The sequence below is a fragment of the Homo sapiens genome, chromosome 1 (genome assembly GCF_000001405.40).
Source record: "Homo sapiens chromosome 1, GRCh38.p14 Primary Assembly".
Classification (NCBI taxonomy): Eukaryota; Metazoa; Chordata; class Mammalia; order Primates; family Hominidae; genus Homo; species Homo sapiens.
The window spans coordinates 10,623,717-10,636,254 of NC_000001.11; the positions used below are offsets into that span (position 1 = coordinate 10,623,717).

The 12,538-nt window shown below is 59.0% G+C and overlaps 1 protein-coding gene across 10 annotated transcripts in view, besides 3 other annotated features; it reads left to right on the forward strand.

Moving 5' to 3' along the window:
• Positions 1-7,042, forward strand: part of PEX14 (peroxisomal biogenesis factor 14) — a 155,809-nt gene extending 148,767 nt beyond the window's left edge. For all 10 annotated transcript variants that reach the window (XM_047422544.1, XM_047422546.1, XM_047422545.1 and 7 more), the window contains 3 exons: positions 624-721; positions 3,556-3,647; positions 5,815-7,042. In XM_047422544.1, the coding sequence (XP_047278500.1) occupies positions 624-721; positions 3,556-3,647; positions 5,815-6,271 (647 nt within the window). In that variant the 3' untranslated portion in view covers positions 6,272-7,042. The remainder of the gene's footprint in view (positions 1-623; positions 722-3,555; positions 3,648-5,814) is intronic.
• Positions 217-1,416: an enhancer, noted in NCBI's record as "CDK7 strongly-dependent group 2 enhancer chr1:10683990-10685189 (GRCh37/hg19 assembly coordinates)". NCBI's record gives its function as "activates an origin of replication core promoter dependent on BRD2, BRD4, P300/CBP, MED14 and CDK7 cofactors, with strong dependence on CDK7, by STARR-seq in HCT116 cells {active_cell/tissue: HCT116}" and the evidence as "EXISTENCE:reporter gene assay evidence [ECO:0000049][PMID:35650434]".
• Positions 9,318-10,281: an enhancer, noted in NCBI's record as "H3K4me1 hESC enhancer chr1:10693091-10694054 (GRCh37/hg19 assembly coordinates)". NCBI's record gives its function as "activates a minimal SCP1, AML or CMV promoter by ChIP-STARR-seq in primed H9 embryonic stem cells {active_cell/tissue: H9 hESC(primed)}" and the evidence as "EXISTENCE:reporter gene assay evidence [ECO:0000049][PMID:30033119]".
• Positions 11,244-12,206: an enhancer, noted in NCBI's record as "H3K27ac-H3K4me1 hESC enhancer chr1:10695017-10695979 (GRCh37/hg19 assembly coordinates)". NCBI's record gives its function as "activates a minimal SCP1, AML or CMV promoter by ChIP-STARR-seq in naive H9 embryonic stem cells {active_cell/tissue: H9 hESC(naive)}" and the evidence as "EXISTENCE:reporter gene assay evidence [ECO:0000049][PMID:30033119]".

Genomic DNA, 12,538 nt, shown 5'->3' on the forward strand with positions numbered 1-12,538 from the left:
GGAGTCTGTGTCCCTCTGGAGCACGTTTGTGAAGCTCACAGAAACCCTCTGACACGTCCATCCTGCTGCCGTTTGCTCCTGCGAGGCTGACATTGGTGGCAACAAGGTCCTGAGGGGTCACGGGACACCAGGGAGTTGAGCAGGCAGCTTGGGTCAGGTGGGGAGGGTGGGAAGGAGCAGTGGGAAACAGGACGTGCGGCTTGAGCCACTCCTGGATGTGAATGTGGCGGGGACCTGAGATGCATCTCTCCCAGCATTGGAGACCCCAGGAGTTTCACAAGGACACTGAGGCCCAGGAGATGAAGGACGCAGGCGCCAGAGAAGCCGGGAGAGCTCAGCAAATCATAGCCAGCTCTAATTAGAGGGGAGAGGTTCTGGACGGATATACTGTTGACCATGGACAACTACACAATGGAAAGATAAAGTAGAAATACTAGAGGTTAGATACAGTGCAGGCAGATCACCCAGAGTGCAGATAAATTAGATGGATTGCGGGGGCTGGGGGTGTCTGCAGATAAATTAGATGGAGCGGGAACACGGGCAGCTCCGAGGTGTGCGGACCGAGCGAGGGGAACGTCTGTGCCTGTGAATTTGCCAGCGCCGTGACTGCTTTCTCCTCGCAGTGACTCAGTTACAGACGACCCTCGCCTCCGTCCAGGAGCTGCTGATTCAGCAGCAGCAGAAGATCCAGGAGCTTGCCCACGAGCTGGCCGCTGCCAAGGTACCTGTCTCTGCTGCACAGGGCCCTCCAGGCCCAGGTCTGTCCCATGTGCCCTTCACTCTTGTCCCTTGGGCCGGGCTTGCCACCTTCGGGAGCTGGACTTTGCCCCAGTCTCACAGTGGTTACACAGCCGTGGCCGATGCTGCCCTTTCTCTCCTTGTAGAGACAGGAGGCTGTTGCTGGGCAGTCAGTGTGACGTTTAACTGTCGAGGCCATCCTTTCTCTCTCTATGTCACCTCCCAACAGGAGGAAGGAAAAGCTACCCTCTGCCTGTGGAGATCTCATGGCAGCCACATCCCCGCAGCTCTGGAGGCTTTCTGTGTAGACATGGGACGGTCTCTACCTATAAGTTAGGTTGCAGGTCACAGCATGGCCAGGAGGGGTTCTGGAACAGACAGGGGAGAAGCGAGTCGCAGTCAGTTCACCAGCACCAGCCCCATCCACACCGCAGTGCAGCGGGCAGGTTCTCTAGACTCAGGTTCCATGGGTTCTGGCAATCCTAGGGAGCCAGAACCAACTCCCAAGGCAGTGTCCTTGCCTCACTGCCCAAATGTGAAGAAATCTTGGCGTGGCAGCTTCCAGGATCAGGCTGAATCCTGGTCCTGCCACTTGTTAGCTGTATGACCACAGGCAAGTTACTTAACCTCTCTGAGTCTTAGTCTCCTCATCTGTAAAATGGAGCCATAACGGCACCTAATTCCTGGGGCTCTTCATGGGTTCAAGAGGGTGCCTGGCTCCAGCCAGCTCGCAGGATTGCAGGCCTAGGTTCTGTGGGTGGGTAACAGAGGTCATCCCTGAGGCGGTATCAGACAGACCGGGCCCAGGAGACAGTGGCCTGGTAGCTCCAGAACACCCACTGGCTCCTCTCTCTGTCCCTTGTCCCACAGCTCTGTGGCCGGCGGACACTGCTCCCTGTCTGCCCCCACAGCCTGGGCTCTGGAGAGTCCCATCCCGAGTTGCTTACCCAGGGAAAGCCACTCCTAGCGTACGAGTTGGCTTGAGCCAGCACTCAGATCTTTTGCATTTGCAAAAACCATGAAAATGACAATCTTTCCATGGAGTCTGGGGTGTCTCTTGTGAAGAGGGTCCCAGGAATCTCCCCCCTGGATATCCAAACCACACACAGAGGTGCCACCTGCTCTTCCTCCTGGGATGGCTGTGGGTACTGGTGACCACCTCCAGCCACTGCAATGCGTGTTCTCCACGGGTGGCCGGTCCCTAAAGCACCAGGAAGCCCAGCGACAGCCCTGCCTGCTCTCCTGGGTCAGGTCATCTTTTGGATCCATGCTCTGCCTGTGGCCAGAAGCCATTCCGGAAATTGGAAAACTGTTTTCAGGCCTTACGCCTGAGATTAAGACCACATGTTGTGTTTAAGAAGCAGTGGGGGCCCGGGATGTGCTTGGTGGTGAGAGGGGTTGGGCCCCTCAGAGTCCCTCGAGCTGGCTTTGCTGCCGCTGTCCCTGGCCCACCCCAGCCTTCTCTCCCGAGCTGCATGGGGCCACTGGCTTGGCATCTAAACGCGTATGTGTGAGGACTTTGGTTACCCCATAAACCAAAGACCCAGAGCTGTGTTTTCTCAGCTGTAATGTAAGTTTTTATATCTGGCTTCCAAACTCCTACTGGAGCACTGTAAAAAATTAAAAAGAAGAGCTTTAAGTAATTAAAAAACCTACATAAAACTGAAGGCTATGAGTTTTCTACAACTGTTTTTTAAAGAGGCTGGCTAAAAAGCCCCAGATGTCAGATTTTATTTCTAAATCCTGGCATCTGGCACCATATGCGTTTGGAAATCTGAGTCCCTTGTAGGCCAGTGAGTGGAAATTGTGCCCTTGTTCATGGGCTGCTGTAGCTTTCAAGGTCTCAGAGAAGCCAGAGCCGTGGCTCCTGGGTCCTCCCTGTCTGGCGGTCTGGAGTAGGAACCCTGAGGGGCTGTGTCTGGGGGTGGTGGGTGACACGCACTCACTCTCAGACTGCCCGGGTTTTCCTTCCTGAGACCTACAGGCCCTCTGAAGGACTTCTCCCTGCTAAGGTGTGCCAGCTGGACTGCTTGCTGGGGTGAGCCCACAGCAGCCCCCGACCCCACGTCAGAGGCCAGGCCTCTGTAAGCCAGCCAGCGGCCCACAGCACACTGGTAGGGAACAGCCAGGGAACGTCCCCTCTGCCCACCTCGGGGGAGCAGTATCAGGAGAGCTGGCAATATTCATCTGTGCACTTAAAGATGGCCTGGGGTGGCCTTCAGCCTGGGCGAGGTAGACCTCACACGGAGGCCTCGTGGCATTGTCCTCTGTGCACATGCCACAAGCAGGTTGCCACCAGCAGCTCGCATTTGGGGACCTCTGGTTTGGCTGTCCTCTTCCCCGTCTATACCAGCAAGATTTTCCAGAAGTAAGATGTAGTTCTGTGAAGTTTATTTGGAAAACAGTGTTACCTTCAAAGGGGAAAGGTGTGCATGGAAGGATGGGGTTTGTCAGAGATGGTGGCTGTTTCCTCTTTCCACCCCGGACCATCTTAAATCCCAGACATCATCCCACTTCATACCGCACCCGCACGCCTCCGCATGTCTCTAAAAGACGCCCACGATACCATTATGTCACCTAAAAACACGTAATGATTCCTTACGTCATCAGATGTCCAAACAGAGCTGTGGGAATGTTTAAGGATGTTGTCATCCAGAGACGTGGCAGGCAGTGGGCAGTGGCAGAACCTTCCCCCGGGTTCCCCAGAACAGACCCAGAAGGCCCCACCTGCTGCCCCCACCCAGGTCCTCCTGCAGCCGCAGGCCCCGCCCGTGCCGCAAGGCGCCCGCCCTGAGCCTCCCTGTGCTCTGCTTTCAGGCCACCACATCCACCAACTGGATCCTGGAGTCCCAGAATATCAACGAACTCAAGTCCGAAATTAACTCCTTGAAAGGGCTTCTTTTAAATCGGTAGGAGGGAGGAATGGGGACCCTGTTCTGGTCGGGCCTGGAAAGGAGGACTGGGAGCTCTGGGGCATGGGAGGGGCATGACGCCCACCCCCACCCCCAAGGACCCCATCTGTCTGGGCGACTCAGGCACTGAGTCTGGGGCCTTTTGAGCTTCTCTCTTCATTCCCCAGTTGACACCCTCTCCACTCCAGAGGTGACGGTCTGTGGCACACAAGTTTTGAAATACAGTTCCCAGGCCTGTGAAGACCTGGTCAGGGACAGCTTGAGCCAAAAAGCAGGGCCCTTGGAGCAGAGGAGAACTTCCTGGTTTGGCTCCTCCTTCCTGAGCTCCAGGTGACCACTCAGTGACAGCTTTGTCCCAGGGAAAGCCCCTGCGGGAGAGTCTTTGTGTTTTGTACTTGGAAGGGTTCCACAACTGAAGACGTGGGCAGAAGCAGGCCCTGCCCCCCGGCTTCTTGGTTGTCCCCCTGTTGTCCCTCTGTAGCGACAGCACATTGTCACCAATGCAGCCTCAGAGGTAGGGTGACCAACTTGTCCTGCTTTGCCTGGGACTGTCCTGGTTTTATTTATTTTTATTTTTATTTTTTTTTGAGATGGAGTCTCGCTCTGTTGCCCAGGCTGCAGTGCAGTGGCACGATCTCGGCTCACTGCAACCTCTGCCTCCCGGGTTCACGCCATTCTCCTGCCTCAGCCTCCCGAGTAGCTGGGATTACAGGCGCCCGCCACCACTCCCGGCTAATTTTTGTATTTTTAGTAGAGGTGGGATTTTGCTATGTTGGCCAGGCTGGTCTTGAATTCCCGACCTCAGGTCATCTGCCCATGGCCTCCCAAAGTGCTGGGATTACAGGTGTGAGCCACTGTGCCTGGACTGTTCTGGTTTTTTAAAACTGAAAGTCCAGTGTCCAGGAGCCACTCTGTCCTGGGAGCCGCAACTGTGGGCCATCCTCCTGGGCTGATGCCCTAGTGGGCCTTGCATGGGGTGTCCTTGTTTCCCTGCTGGGCTGGATTTGTTGGGAGCTGGGTGAGTGGGAGGGTGCAGGTGGGCTTTTCACTAGGGTCCAGGATGGGGTGCAGAGGGGTCTTGCGGCTCCAGCCAGAAGACCCCATTTTCCAAGCCACCCAACTTCCCGGTTTTCCCTGAGGAAAAGAACATGTCCTGGAAAGAGATGTGGCGCTGGCAGAGGCCAGAGCATTGTCATTAGGAGACAGCCTCCATTTTCCCTAACCGAGACCAGTGCCTTGGAGGCTGGGGATGGAGGCCAGGCCATCGGGTGACCGTGGGGGCCAAGAAAACTGCACATGGAATTTCTTGTTAGCGTTTAGGATGCTGGTGAATAAAGCAGGCCGTGGTGTGTGCCCCACTCAAGTGGGGTCTGTGGTGGGAGAGTTGTGTCTAAGGCCCCTGCTGGGGGACAGCCCTGCGGGCAGGGCTTTGTCCTCTTGGCTCAGGCAGAGATGGGCCTGCCTGTTGGAGAGCTCTGTCTCTGAGCCGTTGCCAAGTGGACCTGACCTCCCAGGTCCCTCCTGGAATTGGCTTTGGTTTGGGCTGGCTGCTGGCCCAGGAACGGAGTACGGAGCAGAAGGGAGAGCTGCCTCTTCTGCGTTGAAAGTGTTGAGCTCAGAAGTTTTCTAGCAAAGGGCATAACCACCGCCCTTTTGGTTCTGATGTGTCTGACCCCCTGCCAGTGGCCAGGGCTCCCTGCCTCCACCTTTTGCTCAGGCCATAGACAAATGAGGACTGTGGCTCAGGTGTCTGGAGTCCCCAGTCATAGCCCTTTTGGACTCCTCACCAACCTGTCTCTCTCCTGGCCACTGGGTTGGAGGCAGGGATGGTGCTGAGGATCAGAAGGAAGCAGGCTCCCGCATGGCAGGCAGGCCCCACTTGGCTTCCAGCAGCTGCCCAGGCAGATGGGCCTTGCCCAGGGTGGGGGCCCGGGGGGACCCTGGGCTGTCTGTGGGGGCACAGGACCCGCTTGGCATCTATCTCAGCTGTAGGATCTTTGCTCCTGAAAGGAGGGGTGGAAGGGCTCCATCCTGTCCCTTGCCCAGTGTCCCTGGGGGAGCAGCTCACCATCGCCGAGCCCTTGCGGGTCAGGGAAGGCGTGGCCCTTCGAAGGGGGGCGTCCTGAATGCCGCCACCAACCTCCTCCCCTTCTTCTCCCTCTAGGAGGCAGTTCCCTCCATCCCCATCAGCCCCGAAGATCCCCTCCTGGCAGATCCCAGTCAAGTCACCGTCACCCTCCAGCCCTGCGGCCGTGAACCACCACAGCAGCAGCGACATCTCACCTGTCAGCAACGAGTCCACGTCGTCCTCGCCTGGGAAGGAGGGCCACAGCCCCGAGGGCTCCACGGTCACCTACCACTTGCTGGGCCCCCAGGAGGAAGGCGAGGGGGTGGTGGACGTCAAGGGCCAGGTGCGGATGGAGGTGCAAGGCGAGGAGGAGAAGAGGGAGGACAAGGAGGACGAGGAGGATGAGGAGGATGATGATGTGAGCCATGTGGACGAGGAGGACTGCCTGGGGGTGCAGAGGGAGGACCGCCGGGGCGGGGATGGGCAGATCAACGAGCAGGTGGAGAAGCTGCGGCGGCCCGAGGGCGCCAGCAACGAGAGTGAGCGGGACTAGGGCTGCGCCTGCTGCCTCCAGCCCTGAGGATGGCATCTAGTGTGCCCGTGCGTGGCCATACCCTGCCTCCCTCTCTGGCCCTGGGAGGGCAGCTTGGAGCCCAGGTAGGGGGCAGAGCTGTCCTCAGCTGCACTGCGGCCTGGTGGCAGTGTGGGGAGTCACACTTCTGTCCACCTGGCCTCCTCTCGCCTGGCCGCCAGCCCCAGCCCCAGCCCCAGCCCCAGGCCCAGCTGCCTTTGGCTTTGATCTCAAGTCAGGCTGAAGGCAGCGAAGCCTCGGGGCCCAAGCCCCTCCCCAGCCCCCTCTCCCGGACAGACGCCTTGCCCAGGGTGTGTTTGCTGAGTGTCTTGACTACCGTGACACCACGCATGGCCAGAGCTAGCGTCCCTACTGCCTCCCGACTCCTCAGTGGAGGAGGAGCTGCGGTCCCTCTGGTGTCTGCCATCCCCCTCCCTCCCTGGGCCCGGCCCTGGACCCGTCAGGTGCCTGTCCCCAGCCCCAACCCCACTCATGCCCCGTCGTCCTCCCAGACAAATGAAACCACGCTGCGCTTCCGATGCCCCCGCTTGCCGTGTAATGGTTCAGCTAATCCCATGGCGAGATGGGGGCTCACTCCGGAGGAGGAGCCAGGCAGCAGGGCCTTCCTGACCAACAGCCAGCTCTGTCCTTCCCCCCAGGAAACACATGTTCATTTGTGTGATCATGTATAGACCTCAGAACGGAAGATAGGACTGTATATAATTGTAATAAATACCAGTTGCCACTATTTAATTTCTGCCTGTGGCTCCCTGTCTGCTCATGGCACCCTGGGCCCGGGGGTTCGTCTCAGCGCAGCCTCCAGCTGGTGAAGTGTGGGTGAGGGCCCATGGGCAGCTTCCGCCGCTGCTGAGCCAGAAGCAGAGGCCTTGTTCAGGTCCAGTGGCTGCCGGAGGGCGACACTTTGCTGACCGCAGGAGGATCAGGGACCTCGTGTGACTGTATATAGACCTCATGTGGAGTGAGGAGCTCTTCCTTAAATGGACGAATGCTTCCCGGGGAGGGGAGTGTGGCGTCCTCTCTGGCTCCCTGTCTCCCCTGGCTCTTTTCCTCCCAGTCTCCCTTTCCCCTTCACAGAGCATTTGGCTAAAACCAGAAGAGCAGAGCCATGGGCTCCTTGAGGGGCGCTCCTATTCCCTGCAGCCCCCAAGTGTCAGGACCAGGCTCGTGGGCCGCAGGCGCCGTGATGTCCATGTGCCTGTGTGGACACAAGGGCTTCGGAAATAGGAAGCCCTGGGCAGTCCCTGCGGGTGCGACCTCCATGTACCTGCTCCGCCCTGCCCCTCCCTCTGCTGGGGAGGGAGGAGGCCATGTGGTTGGGCTCAGAGACTTGGTGTTGGGGCTGTTTTGTCTCAGATGTTTCGCTTTTGGCCCCTGCAGCAAACCCTTCTTAATGCTGGGAACACAGGTCCTGCTAAAGTGACGGGTTTCCAGGCCCGGGCCGCCCCCGCTCACTCAAGAGTCCCTGGGACCCGGCTGCCTCCACCTGCTGGAGGGACCCCTGGAGCAGGTCCACCCCCACCCACTGGAGGGTCCCTGGGAGCAGGTCTGCCCCTACCCACTGGAGGGTCCCCAGTACTGGGCTGCACCCACCCACTGGAGGGTCACCGGGAGCAGGCTGAACCCACCTGCTGGAGGGTCCAGCCCCAATCTGGTTTCTGGCCTGCGGGTTGTGTCTTTCATGCTTGTCACCTGGAAGGACACTCCTGCATTTCCTGTTTCCAGCTACGTGTTCCCCAGGGACGAGCGGAGCCCAGTTCAGTGTCACACTATGGCTTGTTCTCCTTTTTCCCTGGCCTCCTTGCTGTCCCTGAAGAAGCAGGTGTCTCAATTCCCAGGGGCTGCCACCCTCACCTGGACGAGGGGGTCCTGCCTACCAGGACCCCAGGAGTCCCAGTGTCTGGGAGCTGCGGTGGGCAGACAGGTGGGCCAGGCCTCGGCCTGGCTCTGGGGACAGTGACTGCCTGTGTCCCACCCTCAGACCTGCTGGGTCACAGGCCTGCATCTGGACGGATCGGTTCCTGAGGAGTCCCCGCCCCCTGTCATTTGCTGCCTGGTGGCCATTGTCTGTAACTTCTCAGAGGTCCCTCCTCCAGTGGGACTAGAAAGGGAGACCAGAGGGCAGATACCCTGGGAAGGAAGGGAAGCCAGGGCTGTGGGGTTGGTGCTGTGGAAGTGAAGTGCCAGCTTCCCGGCTCCATTTCTCCCTGGAGAGCTGGGGCCACCAAGAAAGGGATTCCCTGGGGCTTCACTATCCCTGGGGTGGGGGCAATGGAGACCTCACAGGGCAAGCACTCTCCATCCTGGGGGTCAGTGGGCTGGCACATCCCTGAGGCTCAAGCGTGGAGGAGAAACGGACAGAAACCTGGGCCCGGAGGCCTTTTGCCCCTGTGGGTCCTGAGCACCGAATTCGGCTTTTGAGGACAGAGTCTGGCGTGATTTCAGGGAGAGAAAAACCCCTCCCCAAAACGGCAGGAGTGCTGCCTAATAAAGCCAGCTGCTGGACCAGGGAAAACAGCCCTTTGAAAAAAAAAAGCCTTTCATTAGAAAAATAATGCATTTCATCCAAATAAGGTAAAAATATTCGGAATGGGGCAGAAGTAAGCAGCAGGCAGCGCCTGTCAGGCCCTTTCTGGAAGGGAGAAGATTATTAAACTCAATTACAATGTATTTTTATAAAGTGTCTTTTAGGAAAGAACTAGCCCCATGCTTGGAGGCCGGGGGACAGCTGCCCTGACCTCACCCCGGACCAGCTCCCTCGGTCCCCGGGGTCTGTCCCGGCTCCTCCGGTAACTCGCTGGTTCTGCCTTGGGCAGGGGCATCTACTTTGGGAAGGACAGGGGACCTCCCTTGGTGTTTGCGACTCGCAGGACAGGCCAGGAGGCGGGGGAGTTGCCTTCGGGGGATGGTAGGGTCTCCGCCCGCCTGGGGCTGCCAAGTCCTTCAAAAGCCAAGGCTCCCAGAGCCAGTCCCATCCCAGGACCCTGGCTGGGACAGGGAGCGCCTGGGTCAGGGGAAGGGGCTGCTGAGTTTGTACCCACAGGTGGGATGTGTAGCAAAGCCAATCCACATAGAAGGGGACAGAGATGCGAGAACCTGCCACCTGCCCATCGGCTCCCTGTGTGCCCACAGAGTCTCTTTCCCTCTTTCTTTGTTTTTAATAAACGCATCTGAGCAAGCTGTGTTCATCTTTCGGGGCCCTCACACCCAGGTACAGGTGGAAGAGTTTTCTAGAAGGTTTCGCTTCTGCCCTCCTGGCGGCCCAGCCAGGAGCATGGAGGCGCTGGGTCTCCGGCCTTGCCCCAGACCCCTCCCTCTCCAGGTGACCACCCTGTCCCTGCCCCAGACCCCAGGAGGGAAGGGGAGGGCAAGCAGGGGCCATTCTTCAATGGCCAGACATCTCTGTCCCCAGGAGTTGACTTAATTTGTCTTTTGTTTAAACTGGTTTCTGCCAAGGCACCAAAAGAAGAGGTCAGAGCCTCCAGACAGGGCAGGCACGGAGGCGCCAGTGAGACCTGCATGCAGGTGGGAGCTCCAGCCTCAGGTGAGGTGCGCTCCTGAGGTGTAGCACCCAGGTAGACCTGGAGGGCCTGGCCGCTCTTCCTCCTCCTGCTCCTTTGCTGTGTACAGGGGCTTCCCACCTAGGGACTGGCCACCGCCTGGCCAGGGGGAGCCACGCCCGAGCTGGCACATGCTGACATGCATGTGCGTGCACATGTGTGTGGCACCCTCACACTCACGCAGGGCCCAGTGGGCCCTTTTCAAGAGGTCCCCATGTCCTCCTCCAACACGTGCCCATTGCAGGCCACAGCTCAGACCACAGCCTTGGCACTCTCTTTAATGCAAAACGGGTCTGAAATCTCGCCTGGCATTGAGGGATGACTACCTGAATCATGAATAAACCTTAATAATTTACTTTCATTGAGCACTTTATAGTTTGTGTTCTCCTAGAAGAAGAAATGAGATACATGATATGTTCATCAGAAAGATGCCTGAAACCTTTCCTTGCTCCACGACAGATACTGGAAGGACCTTCTTTCAAGCGACAGGGTCATGGCTTTAAACACCACCATGACACTTGGCATCCAGATGCGTTATAGCCCCAGGGGGAGGAGCCAGCCTCAGGGAGGCTCCGGGCAGCGAGGTTCTTTCTTGGGGATCCCTGCCTCCTTCCAGTGGTGTGGGGCATGGGGCTTACTGGAGGCCAAGCCACTGGGTCCAGCTGCTCCAGCGCTGGCTGTGGGCCCCCTGGGAGCTGCCGATTCCTCCCTGACCTGCCCCAGAGGGTGCGGAGGCACCTCCCAGCAAGGATGGCCGGGGCCTGGCTGCTTCATTCTCAGACAAGGCTCTGGGATTCCAGCCCTTCAGAGGGCACTGCTGCCAGCCCTGGTCCTAGACCAACGCTACCTGTGGGGCCAGGGCCACCTCCCGTGACAGTGGATGGGCAGCTGGCCTTTGCCCAGTGGCCTGGTATGCTGCCCAGAAAGGGGGCTGCCTGTCGCCATGTCCAGGCTGGGGCAAGGCCGCTTCGTGAGCGCCAAGGCCCGGCGCCCACGGGTGACTCAGGTTGCTGGTGGCGCCCCTGCTGGGCCAGGTCCGTGGGAGGTGGGCAGGCCCCTGAGCTCAGCCCTGAGCCTGTGCGGCGGGTTCTGGCCCTTTCCAGGAGGTTGCAAAACACTTGAATTTGCCCCAGTTTGGGTGTAGGAGCATCACACACCACAGCTAATTAAATCCCAGAAGGAAAGCATGCTTTACTGCATTTCCTACTGAGTCCAACAAGCCACAGGGAGTGCCGTGGGACCTGGGCCCATCCCAACCCGCAGCTGCAGGCCCCCTCCCGGCTCTTGGGGGCGGTCTCAGAGTGGGCAACACATGCCTGGTGGGGGTACGAGCTTCTCTCCACCCTCTGGGGCGGGGCCTGGGATGTGGCATCATGGGCTGGCCTGGGTGCAGCGTCCTGAGGCCTTGAGATGCCTCTGAGAGGTCCCCGAGTCCCCGTTCCCCTTCCTTGGGCTGGACTCGGGGCCCTGCTTGTCGTGAGGTTGGTTGACCCTGGGTGTGGTCCATCCAGGCCCAGAAGACCAGGGGGCAGTTTTGGGGTCTGGCCAAGGTCAGCAAACCACCCTGAGTCCCCATTCTCCCTCCCCTGGGCCCCAGGAGTCAGTGCTGCCCCAGAGAGCTGCCCACTGTGCCGGAGCCTAGAGGGAGCTCTGTGGCTGCACCACCCACCCACCGGCTGCTCAGGGCTTGGCTCCCTGCCTCGCTTCAGGCCCCACGGGAGGCCCACCAGGGCCTGGGAAGCTCCAATAATGGTTTTAATTTGTTGAACTTGTGTTTTATCCCATAAATTAGTCACTGTTTTATTTAACAGAATCAAGATATCCGCAAACAATAGGCGAGTTCCAACTTGAACATTTTAATAAGACAGAAAAAAGTATATATTTTCATGTCTGTTACAAACATATTTATGTAAATAGCCTGTGGGCTGCATTCCAGGAGGAAAGAAGAAAGGGAGTGCCCGCGCGCCGGGGCTGGGCTGGAGACGCACTTCTGCGGTGGGAAATGACACAGGCCTGGGCGCTGTGGGCTGAGGCCACTCCCCTGCCGTCCCTGGTCCCTGGTGCCTGGTGCCTGGCCGGCTGGTGCCAGGCTCAGTGAGGGAGAAGCGTGCTGCGATAACCGAACCTCTCCAGCCCCCAAGTCTGCCTGTTTCCTCATCGGGCAAGTGGTTGTGACATCCCTGTGGCTGGGGTGTGATGAGCCGGTAAGACTCCTCAGCGTGGAAGAATGTGGCAGATCCCGCACACATCCCCTCCCCAAGGTCCCAGGAAGCTCCGGCCACCTGGAGTCCAGCTCAGGGAGGGGCTGCCAAGGTGATTCTCACGATGTGGTGTCGTGAGGAGCCGGCCATCAGTTGGAAGTGTCAAGACAAACTCTCGGAGCGCCTGGGAGGCCTGTACTCCAGGCTAGGTCTGGTGGACACTCCGGCCACTGTGCTTCCGAGGGAGCCAACCACGGTGCCACCAGGGCTGGCAGCTCAGGCTCTGGGCTGGTGGCTACGGACCCAGGAATTATCGGCCCCTTCTGGCTCTGCCACCCTGTGCTCCAGGCAGGAGTCGCGCCAGCATCCGGATTGGATCCGGGTACGCGCCGTTCCCAGCCCGGGCAGGTCCCTGCAGGAAGGAGGAAGGAGCCGAGGGAGGAGGCAGGAGGGTGGCCCTGCCAACGCCG